Raw genomic sequence first — 22,660 nt, forward strand, 5'->3', positions numbered from 1 at the left:
TCAGGTCATGTGTTTCAATATATTTGTCATCCCCTCAGCCTCTGTTGGAGCTACCTTTGTTTTTTTGTTTTTTGTTTTGTTTTGTTTTGTTTTTTGAGACAGAGTCTGGCTGTGTCACCCAGGCTGGAGTGCAGTGGTGCAATCTTGGCTCACTGCAACCTCCACCTCCCGGGTGGAAGCAGTTCTCCCACTTCAGCCTCCCGAGTAGCTGGGACTACAGGCACGTGCCACCACGCCCAGCTAATTTTTGTATTTTCAGTAGAGACGGGGTTTTGCCATGTTGGCCAGGCTGGTCTCAAATTCCTGACATCAGGTGATCTGCCCGCCTTGGTCTCCCAAAGTGCTGGGATTACAGGCATGAGCTACTATACCTGGCCTGGAGCTACCTTTGATTATCAAGGTGTCAATATTTTTCTCCACTATTAATAAGATTAAGCTTATACCTCAGTATATCATTGCATTGACATTACAACAGTAACTTTGGCATTGATTTTGTACTGCATCTTACCATAAATATAAGTAATAGTAATGAATCCAAATAAAAGTGGTTTTATGCTCAGATAATACTGTATGAGTTTAGCCTTTTATTCTATGAAATGGGTAGCACGTGTCCACATGCAGCAAACCTTTTGTACTCATGTACTGACAAGGAACTGTGATATGAAAAGCATGATTTTTCTTATGCCTGTGTTGACTACAAAAGAGAGAAGCTCCAGTTAAACCCATTGAGAAGCATCTATGAAATACAAGAAGCTGGGCTTGGAGCCAACACATTTGTCTACATGTTCACTATTTGCTGAGTCTGCGCTAATGAGAGCTTTAAGCCAAGAAGAGCAGAGTCTGATTACTAAGGACTTTATTATAATTTTTTTTTTTTTTGAGACGGAGTCTCGCCCTGTTGCCCAGGCTGGAGTGCAGTGGCACGATCTTGGCTCACTGCAACCTCTGTTTCCCAGGTTCAAGCGATCCTCCTGCCTCAGTCCCCTTAGTAGCTGGGATTACAGACACACGCCACCATGCCCGGCTAAATTTTGTATTTTTAGTAGAGACGGGGTTTCACCATGTTGGCCAGGCTGGTCTCGAACTCCTGTTCTCAGGTTATCCACCTGCCTCGGCCTCCCAAAGTCCTGGGATTACAGGCATGAGCCACCGCGCCTGGCAGACTTTATTATAATTTACAATTACATCTTTCAAGTGAAGGTATAGTGGTTAGGGGCAGGAATTCTTTAGAAACCACTATCCCAATGCACCAGGATTTATTAAGCCATTTCATTTATCATGGGACAAAAAGTTATTTGATTATTTATATGCTTAATTAACCAGGGGAAATCTCTTCAATTGTCTTCCTCTGCTTTGGGTGGTTATTCAGCTGCTAGATAATTTCTTTCCCTAAAGGGGAACACAGAGAAGGAGAGGAAGTTGGTTTGGCTACTTGTCAGCAGTTCTGGAAGAACGTTTATTCAGGGAGGAGTTTGAAATCTGTGAGAATTTGGGCATTATCTGGACATTTTTGGTTCCTTCATGTTGTTCCTGTCTATCTGTAGTCTATGATTTCCTGGATGAAGCCAGACTTACTGAGAGTGCATGAAGTTGGTGGATGAATCTCATAAAGATCTTCTCTCCTAGGCCAGGCCTGGTGGCTCGTGCCTGTAATCCCAGCTCTTTGGGAGACCGCAGTAGGTGGATCACTTGACGTCAGGAGTTTGAGACCAGCTTGACCAACATGGTGAAACCCTGTCTTTACTAAAAATACAAAAATTAGTGGGTGTGGTGGCATGCGCCTGTAACCCCAACTACTCGGGAGGCTGAGGCAGGAGAATTGCTTGAACCCAGTGACAGAGAAGACTCCGTCTCAAAAAAAAAAAATCTCTCCATAGGTTCTTGAGATTCAGAACACTACTCTGTCACCTGTAACTCTGCTACCCTACCAGTGTTCCTCCATTGATTCTCCAGCCTCTGCCAGAGAAAACTTCTAGTGGCCAGAACTCTATCTCATCTTCGTGAACTTCTAAATAGACAGGTGTTGAGGGAAAGGCCACCATCACTATGGTAGTCATACTAACGGGATCTATATACTTTTGGGGAAATCATTGCAATCTTTATTAACAGCTTGTGTGAAAGGAAATTTTATTATGATATTTATCCTCACAGTTGTTTTGTTTTTTGATACAAGGTCTTCCTTTGTTGCCCAGGCTGAAATGCTGTGGTGTGATGATGGCTCACTGCAGCATTGACTTCCTGGGCTCAAGCGATCCTTCCACCTTAGCTTACCCTTGAGTAGCTGGGACACCACACCCAGCTAATTAAAAATTTGTTGTTGTTGTTCTTGAGACAGGGTCTCACTATGTTGTCCAGGCTGGTCTCAAACTCCTGGGCTCAAGCGAGCCTCCCACGTCGGCCTCCCAAGGTGCTGGGATTATGTCTTTGGTGTGAACCACTGCACCTGGCCTCTAATAGTTCTTTTTTATTTATTTATTTATTTATTTATTTTTTGAGACAGAGTCTCGCTCTGTTGCCCAGCCTGGAGTGCAGTGGCGCAATCTTGGCTCACTGCAAGCTCCGCCTCCTGGGTTCACGGCATTCTCCTGCCTCAGCCTCCCAAGTAGCTGGGACTACAGGCACCCGCCACTATGCCCGGCTAATTTTTTGTATTTTTAGTAGAGGCAGGGTTTCACTGTGTTAGCCAGGATGGTCTCGATCTCCTGACCTCATGATCTGCCCACCTCTGCCTCCCAAAGTGCTAAGATTACAGGCGTGAGCCAACGCGCCTGGCCTCTAATAGTTCTTAAAAGTTAGTAATTGAATTTACTATTATTAATAGAACATAGCCACAGTTAGTTAATATGCCTGGAGAATCCTGGGAATTGGACTTTCATAGAAAGTTCGGTATAGTATGTAACAAAGACAATACTTATTTATAACTACCCTGGGGTCTATTCAGAATCTTTCTCAAAGGTTACATCTGAAAAATGCAGTTTGTCACTTAAAATTTGCATACATTAGAAGGTAGACATTTGTACCACACGAGGCCATGTGGCTTTGGGAATCGAATCTGTGTGACATGAAATGCATTCCATGGTAGAACGTTGTCAAAGTGAGGTATATTTTTCTCACAGGGCAGATGTTTTCTACTTGAAGAGCCCCTATGTCCCATTTGATAATCTTCCTGGATAAAGGTCAAGGTGATTGCAGGCCTGTCTCCCCCTCTCCTTCAGACTTTCAGGAATGGAAAGTGTAAGCAATAGTTGAAACCTGAAAGAGAAGTACAACTGTAATTGCTGGACTCATTATTCTAGTGACTTAAAAGTATGGGTGCCCTTCCTGCATTGAGCCTTTTAGTACCTTGTATAGACTTCCATCAGAGGGTCTACAGCCTTGCACATTTCTGTCCTGTTTGTGTGGTGAAGTAGATAAAGGTGAATACCACAACATTTTATGGTCCAGATTAAGGAACAGCTTAACTGGGCACGCATAAATCCAAAGGATCAGCAAGAAGGGACGTGCAGTCCTCTGTCCTCTTACTATCCTACAATGAGTTGGGCAGGTACATCAACCTGTCTGGCCAAGCTGCATGTTTCTGTTCCTCAGGGGGTACCCTATCCCTCTGCTGTAGTATAAGCATGAGAATGGCTGAATGGCTTTATTTCTGGAGGACAAGTATTTTGAACTCAGGCACAGAAGAGCCTTGGGGGCTTGATTGAAGCTGCAGTTTCTGCTGTGGAAAGGCCAGGCTACTAGTCCCAGCCCACCCACAGCCTAGCAGATCAAGCTGAGCCTCTGAGGTCACATCCACCAATTCCTTGGGTCCCTCCTCAGCTGGCATGTCTGCACACTTTCCAAGGTGAGGTATGGTGTCCTATTCATTCATATATCCAGGGGTTCCTGCTTAAAATCCAGGAAGAGGCATACCATTATTTCCATGGTACAAATGCATTTTGACTTACACCGATGCTTTGAAATGAGGACTTTAAACTTTACCTTATCTTATTAGATAAGGATGTTTAGATCAAAGGTTAAACTAGGTTATTTTTTTAACCTCTTACTCTTTTTAATTGTTTAACACTTTTTAACACTCTATTTTATGTCCGCCAAGATACATGGCTAATTTATTCCTTGGGAGTAGGTTGTAAATTTTGTTATTATGCTATTTTTTTTGCAGTATTTATGGATTTTGTGTTATGTAGATTTTCTTTCAACCTTCTCAATAAATAGTAACAACAATAATAAAAATAAAAACCAGTATTTATTGAACCATACTATGTGACCAGTAGTGGCATGCAGTTTATTTGAACAGTATCATTTAATCCTGGAGTAAGTATCATTAGTCCCATTTTAGAAATGAGAAAGCAAAGGCTTAGAAAGATTAAGAAACTTGCCCAGGGTTACAAGGTGAGCAGGTGGGAGCTGGGATTGCAGCTCCAGTTTCCCTCCAAAGGCCATGCTCTTTGATGGTTGAGGACACAGCTGGGCTCAGCCCTAAGCTGTTGGAGTGTGGCGGTCAGAGGCGGAGATGCCCCAGCTATTGTGGACATGGAGCCTGGACCTTTGAACTTTGACTTTTCTTTGTTTCTTTGTGTTTTTGTTTTGTTTTGTTTTGAGCCTGAGTCTCGCTCTGTTGCCCAAGCTGGAGTGCAGTGGCATCATCTCAGCTCACTGCAACCTCTACCTCCTGGGTTCAAGTGATTCTCCCGCCTTGGCCTCACGAGTAGCTGGGATTACAGGCAGGTGCCACTGTCTGGCTAATTTTTGTATTTTTAGTAGAGACGAGGTTTCATCATGTTGGCCAGGCTGGTCTCAAACTCCTGACCTCATGCAATCCTCCTGCCTCGGCCCCGCAAAGTGCTAGGATTACAGGCGTGAACCACCGTGCCCAGCCTTGACTAATCTTTGAATATTTGTGTCTGTGTTGGGCAAAAATTAAACTTACATAGATGATAATAATTGTGTCAACTACATATATGGAAATGATTAATAACAACATTAATACATCACAAATGAAGAAATATTTATTAATAAAAGCTACAAAAACTTGGGTTGGTTGCATGAATAATTATTTACTTATACTATTATGTACGCCTAATTACCAGACAACATAGTGATCAGTGTATGTGTATATGTACACATATAAGAAGATATCACTATGGATTATAATTAACTAAAAATATTAGAAGTTCTAGAATATGAGTGTAGTTGGTTATATTTTAGGTTCTCGAAGAGTTTCTATGACATGAAACTCTAGAAAAATGCATATCCCCAGACTGGATGTGTTTTACACATAAGGGATAGATTATCCAACAGAATTTCATGTAAGGATCATTAAAACATATTCCAGGTCGGGAGCGGTGGCCCACACCTGTAATCCCAGCACTTTGGGAGGCCGAGGTGGGCAGATCACGAAGTCAGGAGTTCGAGACCAGCCTGGCCAACATGGTGAAACCCTGTCTCTACTAAAAATACAAAAATTAGCTGGACATGGTAGCAGGCGCCTGTAATCCCAGCTACTCGGGAGGCTGAGGCAGGCGAATCATTTGAACCTGGGAGGCAGAGGTTGCAGTGAGCTGAGATTGCACCATTGCACTCCAGCCTGGTTGACAGGGTGAGACTCTGTCTCAAAAAAATAATTCAAAAAATTATTTGGTATATTGTAGTATAAGAGCTTTTCAAGATATTTCTCGATTTCTGTAAGCACTGGATAATTAATTCAAGACCCTCCCACTTTCTTTGTAGGAATAGATGAGGCAATAATTTTATGACTATAACTGAATTTTTTCACACAAGACCTTGAGATTTGGTAGAAAATAGGATCTGTTTGATCTGCTTGCCTCGGCCTCCCAAAGTGCTGGGATTACAGGCGTGAGCCACCACGCCTGGCCCTTTTACTGTTCTATAAAATAAGAAGAATAAAAGGGGTATTTGAGGTACATGCATTTGAAGTTCTTAGAATGAGACCTAGCATGTAGGAAACACTCATTGTTAGTTGCTCCTGCTATTAATAGTAGTAAATAGGTCAACATGACTCAGTTAACATTCAGGAAGTAACTTTTTTTCAATTATGAAATGAAGATGTACAAATATTCATACATCATTTTAAATGTAGAGATGTTTAAATTATAGATGCCAATGTGAGGGATAGGCAACAACTATGGCTACCTGTATAATAAAGTTTTACTGAAACACAGTCATGCCCACTGATTTACGTATTGTCTACAACTACTTTCATGCTTCAACAACAGAGTTAAGTAGTTGCAACAGAAATTGTGTGGTCTCCTAAGCCAAAAATATTTGCTATCTGGCCCTTCATAGAAAACCTTTGCCAACCCTTGGTGTATATCTAAGAAAGAAAAGATGTGTGTTGTGTACGTGTGTGAATGTGTTTCTGCGGTTTCTATACGGTTAAACTAAGGAACATTTACTAGAAATTGTTGGCATTCTCCCAAACAAGAGATTATAAATTTATAAATTGATTTTGAAAGGTTTGGTGTTGATTATGATAATTTTAATTTTAAAAGCCTTGTATTGGGCTGGGTGTGGTGGCTTACGTGTGTAATCCCAAGAACGTTGGGAGGCCAAGAAGGGCAGATTGCTTGAGCTCAGGAGTTCAAGACCAGCCTGGGCAATGTGATGAGACCCCGCTTCTCCCAAAAGTACAAAAAATAGCTTGGCATGGTGGCATGTGCCTGTGGTCCCAGCTGCTCAGGAGGCTGAGGTGGGAGGATCGCTGGAGCCCAGGAGGCAGAGGTTGCAGTGAGCTGAGATTGTACCACTGCATTCCAGCCTGGGTCCCTGTCTCAAAAAAAATAAAAACTAAAAAAAAAAAAAGCCTTATATTTTAGGAAAGCAAGCTTAGGGACATTGTGATAGTTTTGATCAAGGGTAAATACTTCACTTAAATAGTTAGCCACATAGAACCCTAAATCATTTGTTTTCTAGTTATTTTCCCCTCAGCATAGATGCCTACCACTTATTTCATTGATACAGAAGATGACATTAAAAATATATGTGCCACTAAGGACTAATGGGTTCTCTCTGTGCAGCCTGTGCCAAAACCCCATATTCCTTTTGGTGAAATTCATATGAGACCACATGTATTGTTGTTTTAGCCAAATGTGGAATACTGACTTAATTTTCTCCCATCGCTTTTGGTGAACCCTCTATCAGCCACTATAAATTTAAAAGTAGTATTGTAGATAGAAAGTCATACTGTTCTTCAGCTTTTCCCTATCCTGTAATAGAGTGATTTATTCATTTTGTCATATATTTATCAGCTGCTTGTTTTTGTTAATGTTATCAGACTTCCTCATGTTATGAGACAAGAAATTACTTTAGAAACCTGTTATTTAGCTGGATTGCACTTTACTAACACAGGAGTCTCTTTCGATATCTTTTAATTCTTGTTCTTTGTCTCAGGATTTTATCTAGGAGCTGAATGAAGGCTGAAGAAGGAATTACCTGCTCTTCATTCATTTTCATATCTTCTTTAAGCGGGAAAAGTTGTTTGTCAATTGGACCCAAAAGGCATGCATACATTCATTCAGATGCTAAACATAGACTTATAGAAGGTTAATGCCTTAAATCTGTGCAAGAATCTATGTGTATTTACAATGGTAGTCAAAAATTTCAGTTAAATAAAGTATCTGCTTTCTGAGATGAGTTTTCTGGCATTGGCAATTGGAATGGTTTTTGTTTTGTAAAACATTTTTTTAAAAATCACAATCTGTTATGAGACAACCATAATTTGTGCTCCGTGAATCACTACATAGCTCAGAGAAACTCGCAAACCTATTTCAAGATCGTGCAGTCTTCATCATGTAGAAGTTCTTAAATGTCTCTGGAAATATCTTACCTATCTAATTTTAAATGCTTCTAGCAGTTCCTATGCTTCCCTAATGAGACTCCTGAGCATAGTCACAGTTATACAGTTATGTTTTTCTGAGCTTGGTTTTTTAGCTTTCCCTTGAATTTATAAGAGCCTCTATTTCCTTTCAGTAAAGTTCCTCTTTGCTTAAATTAGCCAGAATTTGTTCTTGTTTCTTGTAATCAAAGAACCATAATTAACACAGAGATTAGTACCAGGAATGGGTAAATATAAATTCTATGTGACAAAAATTATAGATGTCGGCTGGGCGCAGTGGCTCACGCTTGTAATCCCAGCACTTTGGGAGACTGAGGCAGGCAGATCATAAGGTCAGAAGTTCAAGACCAGCCTGGCCAACATGGTAAAACCCCGTCTTTACTAAAGATACAAAATATTAGCCAGGCGTGGTGGCGCACACCTGCAATCCCAGCTACCCGGGAGGCTGAGACAGGAGAATAGCTTGAACCTGGGAGGTGGAGGTTGCAGTGAGCCAAGATTGTGCCATTGCACTCCATCCAGCCTGGGCAACAGAGCGAGGCTCCATCTCAAAAAAAAAAAAAAGAAAAAAAAAAAAAAACTAAATGTCTATTACACACCCCTCACCTTTTTTTTTTTTTTTTTTTTTTTTGGGAGACAGGGTCTCACACTTGCCTAGGCTGGAGTGCAGTGGCATGATCATAGCTCACTGCAACCTTGACCCCCTGAGCTCAAGTGATCCTACCATCTAAGGCTCCTGAGTAGCTAGGACTACAGGCATGTGCCACCACACCTGGCTCATTTTTAATTTTTTTTTGGAATGACAAGGTCTCACTATGTTGCCCAGGTTGATCTGGAACTCCTGGGCTCAAGTGATCCTCCTGGCTCAGCCTCTCAAAGTCCTAGGATTACAGATGTGAATCAGTGCACCTGGACCTTACACTTTTTTTTCTTTTCTAAAAGCACAAAGACAGAGCTATTTATATTAAAGTATTGCCTGCTACAAGGTATAAGCAAAGGCTAATTCTGCTTGATATAGAATAACCATCTTATCCCTCACATTTGTATGAGCTCTAATACCCAAAAATGTTTGACTTCTAACTACATTTGTTATATAAATGGCTGAATGTTATTCTATTTTTGCAACTCCCACAGCATCTTCACTCTTCTAGGCATAGAGTAGAATATAAATAAATGTGAAATGCATGTTGATTGATCCCTAGTGGAAAGTAAAATTGCTTTTAGTTTCAAAGCATTGAAATTTCATTCTCCTCTTTCCTTTTTCAAAAGTAGGAAGACTCAGAGATTTTAAGAATTGAATCTCTCTGTGCTTTGGAATCTACATTGGGAGTAAGAAGCAGAGTGTTTGTACTTAATTGATTTCATTTGGTTGTTTGCAGTTTCAGATCTATGCATGGACGAGGATATTTATGCAATTCTCTCATGAGCCATTAACTTTCTATTGGTCTTTTTATGTTTCAGTCTGTCACTTCAGTGTGCTATTGAAACTGCTAAATATTTAGGTACAAACACAAACTCCCATTTCAGAATCAGCTGATTATATAATTGCAGGTGAGAAGATGCACAAACATATTAATATTTTTAGCTCTCCCTGATGCTGTTAGAAAGATATGATAATTTCAGCCAGGCGTGGTGGCTCACACCTGTAATCCCTGCACTTTGGGAGGCTGAGGTGGGCGGATCACGAGATCAGGAGATCGAGACCATCCTGGCTAACACAGTGAAGCCCCATCTCTACTAAAAATACAAAAAATTAGCTGTGTGTGGTGGCATGTGCCTATAGTCCCAACTACTTGGGAAGCTGAGGCAGGAGAATCGCTTGAACCCAGGAGGTGGAGGTTGCAGTCAGCCGAGATTGTGCCACTGCACTCCAGCCTGGGCAACAGAGCAAGACTCTGTCTCAAAAAAAAAAAAAAAAAAAGAACGAAAGATGTGATAATTTCACTCTCATTGATTCACAGCAGCTATTTGTTGATGGCTCCAATGCTTTCTGAAGCAATGGACACAGGTCATACTGTTAGCCTTTGGTCTGTAGAATCACAAGGAACACTTGCTGGGTGAGATGAAAATGTAAGGAAATTCCACTATTTCTGTATTTCTGTAACAGTTTTCCTTTCCTTATTTTATTTTATTTATTTCTTTTTTATCCTTTTTAAACTTTTTTTTTCAATTTTCCTTTTCTTGATTTTATTTTTGTGCTAAGTGTCTGTGATACATATTATGAACATCCGCTAACATTTACACAGCATCTTATATTTTGGAAAGAGATTTTATATACACCATTCTGCTGATCCCCAACATCCTACTGACCCTTAATCCTATGAGCAGAGAGGAACCTGAGTGATTATGTTGATTCCCAATTTAGAGATGAAAAGCTTTACGTGAAGTCTTGTAATACTTCCTTGCTCAATGTTGTGTCCCCAGGATTTGGTACAAAGATGGGTATACAATAGACAAGGAATAAAAAATATGCTAAGTGGCAAAATAAATGGAGCTCAGAGAGAAACTAAGTGACTTGGCCATGGGCACACATGACTAAGTGATGGAGACTGCTCAGATTTAGGATTTAGGATTTTTTTTTTGAGACAGAGTCTTACTCTGTCTCACCCAAGCTGGAGTGCAGTGGCACGATCTCAGCTCACTGCAGCCTCTGCCTCCCTGGTTCAAGCGATTCTCCTGTCTCAGCCTCCTGAGTAGCTGGGACTACAGGCATGTGCCACCACACCTGGCTAATTTTGTATTTTTAGTAGAGATGGCGTTTTACTATGTTGGCCAGGCTGGTCTCAAACTCCTGACCTCAGGTGATCCACCTGCCTCGGCCTCCCAAAGTGCTGGGATTACAGGTGTGAGCCACCATGTCTGGCAGATTTAGGATTTTTTGACTCCAAGTTTCATAGTTTCCTAATGCTTATGCTCGAAAGAGGACAACTGAAGTAGTTTATAGTGATGCTAAGAGCTAAAGTAAAGAAATACATTTGAAATCTTAAGATGCAGATTTCTTAAGTTGGATGAGGAATTATTTTCAGCTAAAATTAAGTTGTATAGTTCTTATGTGTTCAAGGGGAATTTTTTAAAAATATGCAAAATTGGAGAGAACATCTTGAGGGTCGTGCCACTTTGGAATTTAGAGTGAATCATCAAATTTCAGGGTTTTTAGACACGAAAGAACCTGTACATTTGGAGACAAGACAAGTGAAATGTACTAAAATTGTGTGCTCCGTGAGGGCAGGGTCTATGTGTGTCTGTTTACTACTCTATGCCCAGTGCCTGGCACAGTGCCCAATGGACAGCAGTGAAGTAGGAGTTCAAGTAATATTCGTTGGCTGGGTGAGGTCCTGTTTTTTTGAGATAGTCTTGCTCTGTTGCCCAGGCTGGAGTGCAATGGTGCGATCTCAGCTCACTGCAACCTCGGCCTCCTGGGTTCAAGCAATTCTCCTGCCTCAGCCTCCCAAGTAGCTGGGATTATAGGTCCCTGCCACCATGCCCAGCTAATTTTGTATTTTTAGTAGGGATGGGGTTTCGCCATGTTAGCCAGGCTGGTCTCAAACTCCTGACCTCAGGTGATCCACCCACCTTGGTCTCCCAAAGTGCTGGGATTACAGGCGTGAGCCACTGCACCCAGCCAAAAATACTATTTTTTTGCCCTAAGTTTGTTGCCATAAGTCACTCCTTAATGAGGGTCTTCCTAAAGGTTACTCAAACCTTGCATGGTTGATTAACATACCATCTTTATGTCATCAACATAGTGAAGTTGTTGAAACTTAGGCTGGAGGAAACAGCAATGATCTAATCCAGCTCCTTTAAAGGACTCTTGCTTGGCCATCTGATTTGGTATTAGATCAGGGATGAGAACTGACAGTCTTGGTCTCCTATTTCGTCATGTCAACTATGAGAGTACTTATGGGGAATCCAGACTGACTCCTCTGGAGACCGAGTGGCCTCTGAGGTAACCTACAGAGACTGAGCAGGACATGAGGCTTACAGCTCCGTCCTGGGCTCCTTTCTGCTCAGTCCTGCAGGCATCTTCACAGGACTGTGCCACCCAAACACAGCATTTTTCTGCATTTCGAATTTGGTCTTCCCAGCTTTACCAGTGCTTAGTCTCAATCTTTAATTCAAGATTGAAACTGGGCAGCCCTCACTGGTAAATTTAAAATGTGTAGCATTCCCACCTCCCTTCTGTAAATGTTATTCCTGACTCTGGGGGCCAGGAGTTGCTATTCTGACATCTTGAGCCTGAACACTCTTCCCCACCCCAAAGTGCCTCTATCCCTCCACAAGAGGAGGAGGAAGTAAAAGGCACTCGATTTAATTGGCTGTGTGAAACCTCAGTTCTCTCTCTCTTTTTTTTGTTTTTTTTTTGAGATGGAGTCTAACTCCGTCTCCCAGGTTGGAGTACAGTGGCACGATCTCAGCTCACTGCAACCTCCACCTCCCAGGTTCAAGCAGTTCTCATGTCTCAGCCGCCCCGAGTAGTTGGAACTACAGGTGCCTGCCACCACGCCCAGCTGATTTTTCTATTTTTAGTAGAGACAGGGTTTCACCTTGTGGGTCAGGCTGGCCTCCAACTCCTGACCTAAGATGATCCACCCTCCTCAGCCTCCCAAAGTGCTGGGATTACAGGCATGAGCCACTGCGCCCGGCGTAAACCTCAGTTACCTTTAAGTCAATTGCAGGTAGAAAAAACTGGATACATTTTTTAAAAAATTAACTTTATTTTTATATTTATTTATTTTTTTGAGGCAGAGTCTCACTCTGTCACGCAGGCTGCAGAGCAGTGGTGTGATCTTGACTCACTGCAACCTCCACCTCCTGGGTTCAAGCAATTCTCCCTGCCTCAGCCTCCCAAGTAGCTGGGATTACAGGAGTGTGCCACCATGCCCAGCTAATTTTTGTATTTTCAGTAGAGACGGGGTTTCACCATGTTAGCCAGCCTGGTCTCGAACTCCTGACCTCAGGTGATCCACCTACCTCGGCCTCCCAAAGTGCTGGGATTACAGGCATGAGCCATTTTGCACCCCGCCTTTATTTTTAAGAGACCAGAGTCTTCCTCTGTTGCCCAGGCTGGAGTGCAGTGGTGTGATCATAGCTCACTACAGCCTCAAACTTCTAGGCTCAAGTGATCCTCTCACCTCAGCCACCCAAGTAGCTAGGACTACAGGCACACGCTACCATGCCTGGCTAATTTTTGCTTTTTTTTTTTTTTTTTTTTTTTGTAGAGACAGAGTCTCACTATGTTGCCTAGGCTGGTTTTTAACTTTTGTCCTCAAGCAGTCCTCCTGCCTTGGCCTCCCAAAGTGCTGAGGTTACAGGTGTGAGCTACCATGCCCAGCCAGTGAATGCACCTTTTACCTAAACTGTGAGTCTTCTATGTGCCAGGCCCTGTGCTAGCCCTTGATGGCAATATGAAAACCATTGGAATCTTGTCCGCAAGAAGCTCACAGCATGAGATTCCAGACAGCTACAGCCAGAGATAGAAATGTGGACAGACAATTACAACCCAGCATGAGAATTTCTGCAATAGAAGGATGTGCAAGGTGCAATGGGAGCTCCGGATGGAAGTGACAGACTACCTGGGAGAGTGAGATAGCCAAGACTTCCTGCAGCAGGTGACAGCTGAGTGAGGTTTGAAGTTTGAAGGTGTTTTTACTAGGAGTGCAGTGCAGGAAGGGAGAAGCACCATACAGAGACAAGAGCAGGTGGAAAGAAAGGTTTGAAATAACATGACATGTTTAGGAAAGTTGAAATAGTCCTGTCGTCTAGTGGTTTTTGATGTTTCTGATGTTTCTGCTTGCCCATCTCTTATCTGTAAAAATATTTTAGGCATAGATTTTTCCCCAATATGGGCTTTATATGGGCTTTTTTTTTTTTTTTTGAGACAGAGTCTTGCTTTGTTGCCCAGGATGAAGTACAGTGAAGTGCAGTGGTATGATCTCGGCTTACTACAGCCTCCGCCTCTCAGGTTCAAGCGATTCTCCTGCCTCTCAACCTCCTGAGTAGCTTGGACTACAGGAACATGTCACTATGCCCAGCTAATTTTTGTATTTTTAATGGAGATGGGGTTTCACCATGTTGGCCAGGGTGGTCTCGAACTCCTCACCTCAAATGATCCACCTGCCTGGGTCTCCCAAAGTGCTGGGATTAAAGGCGCAAGCCACTGCACTTGGCCAATTTTTAAAATGTTATTTATTTATTTATTTTTACAGAGACAGCATCTCGCTATGTTGCCTAAGCTGGTCTCGAACTCGGGCTCAAGCAGGCCTCCTGCCTCAGCCTCCCAAAATGCTGGGATTATAGGCATGAGCCACTGTGCCTGGCCTAATGTAACAGTTACACACATGTACTACTATACTAATGCACTCTGTATATCATAAATATACACACACACACAAATTTTGCCGGGTGCAATGGCTCACACCTATAATCCCAGCACTTTGGGAAGCCAAGGCAGGCAGATTGCTTGAGCTCAGGAGTTCAAGACCAACCTGAGCAACATAATGAAACCCCATCTCTACTAAAAATACAAAAAAAAAAAAGCCGGGTATGGTGGTGCATGTCTGTGGTCCCAGCTACTCAGGAGGCTGAGGCGGGAAGATCACTTGAGCCCAACTGGTGGAGGTTGCAGTGAGCCAAGATTATGCCACTGCACTCCAGCCTGAGTGACAGAATGAGACCCTGACTCAAAAGAAAAAAAAAATTAAAATCCTTTTAAGAAAAAGTATAGATATGCTGATATTTTCTAGCTGTGCACCAATGGTTGGTCTTAGGCCCCTCCTTTATAGACCACTCTTAAGACTCTAAGCCCTGTGAGAGAGGCCAGGCCTGTCAGATTCACTGCTGTATACCCCTTGTCTAGCATTACTAGGCACCCAATAAATATGGATTGTTGGAGTGAGTTTGATTTTCCCTATTGCTGGACCATAAGCCTAAAGTGATGGCTGGTGACAAATGTTTATAGACTTTACTGAAGGAAGGCCTTCATAGGATTTCCCAGAGCTCTATGCAGGACACCAGAGCTTTGATTTTGAGCTCTAGCCCTCACTGTTTATCTTAGGGTAGTCAAGACCCTCACATAATTTCTCTGTGTCTTCTGAGAGCATTCGCGTTGTTCATCAGGGCCAATAGTATTCCTGTGCATTACATGGTGCCTGTGGTGAGTGATTAATAAAAGGGATATTGTGACTCTCTTGGCAGGGATGAAAGGACTGTCAACATGGTAAATAGCCCTTGTATAAGCAGGCGAAGAGAATGAGGCTATTCTTCCTCCCACCGTGGCTCTTACTGGTGATGATTACAACACCAAAAGCATATTTTTCTGTTTGACTTTTGAATCCAGGGGTCTATGATGTTGTAGCAACAAAACTGTTTTTTTCACATGGCAACAAAACGTAAGATCTGGCCCATGACACTACCTTCCTACTAATGGATGGATTGGAACAAGGTTGAGGGGTAGTGTTTTGTGTGAAGTGCAATTAACATTGTATTACAGATTAATTTGAGGTTTTTAAGAAATATATGGGGCACAGATTTCTTCACAAAATTTCAAAGAAACCTAGATATTTTTTTAAAAAATATTTTCTTCCCAGAATGATTTTTAAAATACATATGCCTACGGATAATATTTTATGTTTAGTTAATCAGCCTATAAATATTTATTGAGGGCCTGTGGGAACAGCTTTTGCTTGTACTAAAATCAAGAAATAGAAAGAAATAGACACCATGATTCCTGCCCTTAGGGAGATGACTTTTTAGGTAGAGAAAGAAAATAAGGGCCAGTGTGGTGGACTTTGGGAGACCGAGGCAGGTGGATCAAGTTTGAGACCACACTGGCCAACATGGTGAAACCCCATCTCTACTAAAAATATAAAAATTAGCGGGGCGTGGTGGCGCATGCCTGTAATCCCAGTTATTTAGGAAGTTGAGACAGGAGAATCCCTTGAAGGTTGCAGTGAACTGAGATCATGCCACTGCACTCTGGCCTGGCAACAGAGAGAGACTCTGTCTCAAAAAACAAAAAAAAAGGGAAGAAAATAAGAATCCATGAATCAATGGAGGGCAATTGAGTTACTGTGATATAATATGAAATATATTTAGTCCCTGGTTCCTCACAGAGCTTAAACTCTCAGAATTTCCCAAGTGATAAGAGTGTCTATTGTTATAATAAGCCCTTATTAGCACAACTGAATTTATGTTAATAAAGTGACTCAGGGTGGGACACCTAGCTAGCCTCATGATGAGGCTGGCCATCAGAAAGACCAAGTGATTAGAGGATGAGAGGGTTGGAACTTTCAACCCCACCCACCAACCACTAGGAAAAGTGGAGGCCGAAGGAGTCCGGAGATCAAACTGTAAGACTCTTGAACAATGAGATTTGATGAGCTTCTGAGTTGCTGACATGTGTAGGTGCTGGGAGGGTGGCTGGCCAAGAGAGGGCATGGAAGCTCTGTGTCCCCCTTTCTATACCTTGCCCTATCCATCTCCATCTGGCATTCATCAGTATCCCCTCTAATATACTGGATAAAAAACCAGTAAATGGGTGAGGTGCAGTGGCTCACTTGTAACCCCAGTGCTTTGGGAGGCCCAGGCAGAAGCATGGCTTGAGGCCAGGAGTTCCAGGCCAGTTTGGGCAACATAGTGAGACCCTGGTAGTACAAAAAATGAAAAAAAAAATTTTTTTTAACCAATAAATGTAAGTAAGTGTTTCCATGACTTCTGTGAGCCTTCCTAACAAATTATTTGAACTTGTGGAGGAGATGATGGGAATCTTGATTTAAAGCCAGTCAGTTAAAAGTACAGGTGACTGCCTACTACTTGCAATTGGTATCTGGAGTGGGGGCAGTCTTGTGGGACAAGTGTAGCTGGGACTACAGGCATGCGTCATCCCGCCTGGCTAATTTTTGTATTTTTAGTAGAGATGGGGTTTCACCATGTTGGCCAGGCTGCTTGCAGCTCTTTTCTTAAAACAAAGAAATTGAGGACTTGAGTTGCTATTGAATCAAGCTGTTTGTCCCTGAGCTTCCCTTGTGTAATCAGTGGGAAAATTACAAGTCTGATAAATGCGGACTGATTTTCTGGACATTTTACATCATTGGAAAAATAAATCAGAGAGTTATCAGATTCCTCCAGGGCAAATGTAACTGTGATGTAAATCAGAGTCACCAAGGAACAGAGCCTTAGGCTAAAATAGATGCCAGGGCCTCATTTAAAAACCATGACAGCCAGCCCACTAATTCTCAGAACACAAGTATCATTTACTTCTTGGTGCCTGGAGTGAGAGTTTGTCGTATTGGCTTTGCTTCCTAGCATCTCACACAATAACAAATGCTAGGATGGAAAGATATTGGAGACAGGTGCAGTAGTGTGATTATATTAAATTGAGAAAAGACTTTCAAAGGCTCTCTAGAATCTTAATGATTTCCAAAGGGTCCTCTTTCAGCTTCCCTACCTTGCCTCTGGTAGCCTAATTAATAGAGTGTGACTTTTTAGTTCTTGCCAAGTGCCACCCCAGTTCAAATGACAGCTGTCAGGAGAATGCGACAGATAACTGATGAAATCTTTAGTTACCTAGCTATCTTTAGAAGACACTGTCTTTGGCTTAATGAGTGCTGTATTTTATAAGTAGCCACAGGTGTTTGGCACCCTGTCAGCATTCTTGGGACTCTAAATAGAGTTAAATTTTCTGTCTTTATATAGGCATCAGCAGGGTTTGAACACCTGCCTATCTACCATAGCAAAGTAGAAAGTTACAGAGAGAAAACAGAGCCTTTAGGGTGGCATGAAAGGTGTAAATATGCAAATTAACTCTACAGATAAAACCATTAATGTAAACAATTGCAAACCATGCAGAAATATTAATAAGACTAAATATGCTCTTTCAAATATGAGTTTTGATGAGTGAAAAATCTTAAGTTCTAGATTCTGTGTGTGGCCTTGCCACTTACAAACTATTCATAACCAATTCCAATCACCAGAAGTGAACCTTCTTCTCATCTACAGACAAGGGTTAATCATCTCTTAACTAGGTTACATGCTTGTTTGCCAAATCAAGTTTTCGCAAATGAGATGCAGTATGTAGAGGTAATTAATAAGCCATAATGTGCTGAGCACATGAAATTTGGATTTATTATTATGTAGAACCTCATTAGGTATCAGATACATAGAACACTGGATAATCTGGAGCTACCACCTAAAGTCTCACTCACACCTGACATAAATTTCCACTTGGCTGTTGATAATGGCTTTGGCGCCTCTTGTATTTTTTTCTGATCCTCAAACTGTTTAAGTGACCTGGAGATCCAGATAGAGGTGTATGTAGATATATGAAATTTTATCTACCAAAGCCTCATCATATACAGGCATATACCAAGAGTATTCAGGGGCTACATTGGGAAACAGGTAGTCTGAAAATTTGACTCTAAGTATATAGAACACCTGCAAAAGTCAGAGCACCTATGTTAAGAAAGGGAAAATGCAAACCTGGCATAAGCCAATATACAGATTACCAGAAGGTGCTTTTCACTGGCTGTGTCTAACAGACATAGAAAAGATTTTCCTGAGGGTGGTCAGATATGTGAAATAGCATTTTATTACGCAGCCCTGGGAAACATTTTTGTTTTCTACATTGTCAGTAGTGAAATATAAATTTTTAGGGTTTTTGAATTTTTTTTCAGGCCTTATTTTTTATTTTTTATTTTTTTGAGACAGAGTCCCGCTCTGTCCCCCAGGCTGGAGTGCAATGGCACGATCTCGGCTCACTACAACCTCCGCCTCCCGGTTTCAAACAATTCTCCTGCCTCAGCCTCCCTAGTAGCTGAGATTATAGGTGCCCAGCTAAGTTTTGTATTTTCAATAGAGACAGGGTTTCACCATGTTGGCCAGGCTGGTCTCGAACTCCTGACTTCAAGTAATCCACCCGCCTCAACCTCACAAAGTGCTGGGATTACAGGTGTCAGCCACTGCGCCCAGCCCCCAGGCTTCATTTTAACTCACATTCTGTTAGACATAAAAATAAATCACAGTACCAAGTGTATTTGATGTCTGCATTGAGTACCAAAGATGGCCTAAACATTTGACTACGTGAGTTAATGATGAGTAAGGGATAGTTAACCCCCAAAATGCTTAATGTGGAGTGGTTTGGGATCATTTGTGACTTTTTTGTTTCCTAGAGGGGTGTGTGTGTGTGTATGTTTGTGTATGTATGTTTCCATCACTGCGTCTGAGATTTTCAGTATTCAGCATTTTTGGTGGGTGCTGTTTTATCTTTTCAACACAGCAGAGCTGCCTCCACCCATTGCCTCACAGGACTTTAGTGAACAGGAGCACCTTCAGTGTTGGCTGTTTATCTTTGGGACTGACCAGATACCGTGGCCTTCTATCAATTTCCCTGCTAGCTAATGCTCTGACTTCTTTGCTCAGCTATCCATTGTCTCCTGGAGTGCCCTGTGAACCAGCCTGAGCTACACCTATCCAGACCTGCCTGGATCCTGACAGCAGACAGAGCTTCAGCCACAGCCAGGACCATGCTATGTACACACATTCTTTTTTTTTTTTTTTTTTTTTTTTGAGACGGAGTTTCACTCTTGTCACCCTGGCTGGAGTGCAATGGCGTGATCTTGGCTCACCACAACCTCCGTCTCCCGGGTTCAAGCGATTCTCCTGCCTCAGCCTCCCAAGCAGCTGGGATTACAGGCATGCACCACCAGGCCTGGCTAATTTTGTATTTTTAGTAGAGACAGAGCTTCACCATGTTGGTCACACTGGTCTTGAATTCCCGACCTCAGGTGATCCACCCACCTCAGCCTCCCAAAGTGCTAGGATTACAGGCCTGAGCCACCGTGCCTGGCCCCTGCTGTGTACACATTCTGTGAAGAATAACATGTTCCTTTCTGAAGGAAGGGTTATGTAACATTTCTTATCCAGTGGAACTAAACACACACGGGTAGTCCAAATACTTCTTCATATTAATAGAAAGGTGATGGCAGAAACATTCTGAAGTCCTTCTCTTCCATGGACATGACAGCTATGAACACAGCTATCAAAGGACCCCACACTAGAGGCTCAAGGTTTGCATTCTGTACTACACTATGGTTTCCTTCTGTCCAGACTGAAACAAAGATGAAAATCCAAACCTTTATACTCACGAAGTGTCATTTACCCTAAGCCCTGTCCCACACATTTTGGGAAATATGAAAGAAGAATGAGATAGTTTTTTACTCATCAAATTTGTAGTATAATTGAAGAGAATTAATGCAAATAAGATTAAAGTAATACAAAATATTATATAGGTAAACATGAGCATTTTAGAAAGTAGATCATATCTGTTGGATGAAAGAACACATCATGGAAGAAGGCTGAGGCATTTGAATTTGGTGGATAAATAGGAAAAGAGGGAGAGCATATTCTGAAAAGGGAGTAGCCTAAATATAGGGAAGAGGCAGAAAGGAAGGATTGGGCTAAAATTGGAAGAGGAAAATAATGTTGGATAGATTGAGTTTTAACATATTAAGGAAACTTTGACTGGCATACACACACACAATTCCCTAACATATAGAATACAACATTTCCATTTGGAAGAAACAACACCTGTTTCAGTTACATAATCCTTGAACTCCAGAAACTGGGCCAGCATGAACAGTTGTTTAAGCTATGCCAGGTATGCAGTTGGGAATCAATAAATGTGTTTCGGTTGAGAAATTTTTGCAAGCCCCTTAACTGCAAGCTGCCTCCGCGATAGCTGCGGATGTTCCTGAGAACACTTCTGAAGATTTGAAATATTTTTAAATCCAGAGAAACCTTGTCTATTCTCAAGTTATAGACGTGCAACACTCAAAGCCTGTGGCACTTTGGCAGCCTCAGCGTCTGTCCTGTGAACTGAAAATAGATGATCATAACCCTACACAGTGTTTGTACAGCATGCTTAGCACAAGATTCACTTTAATGTGTTCATCCTTGTTTGGAAGCCCAAAGGAAATGAGATTTGCTGTTTTGTGCTCCCTGGCCTTGTGGCTTACGGTAGATCTTTTCAGTACAAAATGTGCCCAACACAGTTGGTTCTATTTTGATCTTGTGTGTGAGGATGTATCCTAGAGGCTGTCAACCTAAAATAATAAAAAGGATCAGAATCTAGCTTTGTTTTTTTGTTTTTGTTTTTTGTTTGTTTGTTTTTGAGATGGAGTCTTGCTCTGTTGCCCCTGCTGGAGTGCAGTGGCCCGATATTGGCTCACTGCAACCTCCACCTCCTGGGTTCAAGAGATTTTCCCTCCTCAGCTTCCCGAGTAGCTGGGATTACAGGCACCTACCACCACACCCAGTTAATTTTTGTATTTTTAGTAGAGATGGGGTTTCACCCAGTTGGCCAGGCTGGTCTTGTACTCCTGACCTCAAGTGATCCGCCTGCCTCGGCCTCCCAAAGTGCTGGGGATTATAGGCATGAGCCACTGCACCCAGCCAGAATCTAGTTTAAAGAGTGTTTATTCAAGCTCAAAGTTTGAGGACTGCAGCACCAGGCACTTCCAAGTTGCACTGGGGAGTGGTCTGGAAAACAAAAGAGAGGTTCACATTTTTAAGGAAAAAAGAGGACGAACAAAGAGAGGGGGCAATGACAAAAGTTGTTCATCAGGCATTTTCACTGGTTTACAGAAATAACATTGATTGGTGATTGGCTGTACATTGTTGAACTACAGGGTGTATGGCATTTTATGGCTACTTAGTGTCAGTCTATAGCCCACAAAGTAAGTGGCTTCAAGAGGTAATTATTTAGCTCAAGTGAGAGTGGGATGTGACTGCTGTTACCTTTTAAATGTCTTTCTAAGCCTGATAATTTAAAGGGGCTCATATTCCTCAGATAAAAGGTTTTTATTTCTCGTGGTTCATCAGGGTGTCCATAAAAACCTGAGAAGTTTGAGTTGAGAGATTTTAGAGATAAAGCCAGTCAGTTTCCTCAGGAAGCTGAGGTCTTAGTTGGGTGAGAGGTCTCCCCAGGCCATGTTACCTAAACCAGCAATGCACACTCTTCAGTTAGGTGTCCTGACTCCTCCTAGAGACAACACAGGCCCTGGCTTCTGTTGTTCCATCGAGGCTTGGACAATTGTCAAGTTGGCTTACCATGCCCTAGCGTCACCTCTGTGCATCCTTTCCCATCCTTGTCCCATCAGCGGGACAAGCCCTCCTGCTTTTCCTTCTAAATCATGAGGCTTCCTAGTTTAAATTCCTTCCCCATCAAAATGGGAATGGCTTTAATACCTACCCAGTCTTTCTTTTCTTTTTTTTTTTTTCCTTTTTTGTTCTTTTTTTTGAGAAGTCTTGCTCTGTCACCCAGGCTGGAGTGCAGTGGCATGATCTTGGCTCACTACAACCTCCACCTCCTGGGTTCAAGCGATTCTCCTTCCTCAGCCTCCCAAGTAGCTGGGACGACAGGCGAGTGCCACCATGCCTAATTTTTGTATTTTTAGTAGAGACGGGGTTTTGCCATGTTGCCCAGGCTGGTCTCAAACTCCTGACCTCAGGTGATCTGTCTGCCTCGGCCTCCCAAAGTGCTGGAATTACAGACATGAGCCACCGTGCCCACCCTCTTATTTATTTCATAATGCAATGTTGGCTCTGTTTCATTCCAACCCCCTGCGTTTGCAAAGTGTGGTCCCTAATCAGTATCATCAGCATCACCCAAGCCTTTTTTTTTCTTTTTTGAGATGAAGTTTCACTCTGTTGCCCAGGCTGGAGTGCAGTGGCACGATCTTGGCTCACGGCAACCTCCGCCTCCCAGGTTCAAGTGATTCTCCTGCCTCAGCCTCCCTAGTAGCTGGGATTACA

General features: G+C 42.3%; 1 protein-coding gene across 2 annotated transcripts in view, besides 2 other annotated features; it reads left to right on the top strand.

Moving 5' to 3' along the window:
* The window catches only part of DEPTOR (DEP domain containing MTOR interacting protein), a 177,197-nt gene that overhangs the window by 18,200 nt on the left and 136,337 nt on the right, over positions 1-22,660 (top strand). The window lies entirely within an intron of this gene.
* Positions 3,957-4,101: an enhancer, noted in NCBI's record as "145 bp enhancer 57 fragment used in the MPRA reporter construct; PK_construct_671". NCBI's record gives its function as "activates an SV40 promoter by MPRA in HepG2 cells {active_cell/tissue: HepG2}" and the evidence as "EXISTENCE:reporter gene assay evidence [ECO:0000049][PMID:23512712]".
* Positions 4,022-4,035: a transcriptional cis regulatory region, noted in NCBI's record as "HNF1 motif; enhancer activity is reduced when this motif is scrambled". NCBI's record gives its function as "necessary for full MPRA enhancer 57 activity {active_cell/tissue: HepG2}" and the evidence as "EXISTENCE:site-directed mutagenesis evidence [ECO:0005528][PMID:23512712]".

This window comes from Homo sapiens, chromosome 8 (genome assembly GCF_000001405.40).
Source record: "Homo sapiens chromosome 8, GRCh38.p14 Primary Assembly".
Taxonomy (NCBI): Eukaryota; Metazoa; Chordata; class Mammalia; order Primates; family Hominidae; genus Homo; species Homo sapiens.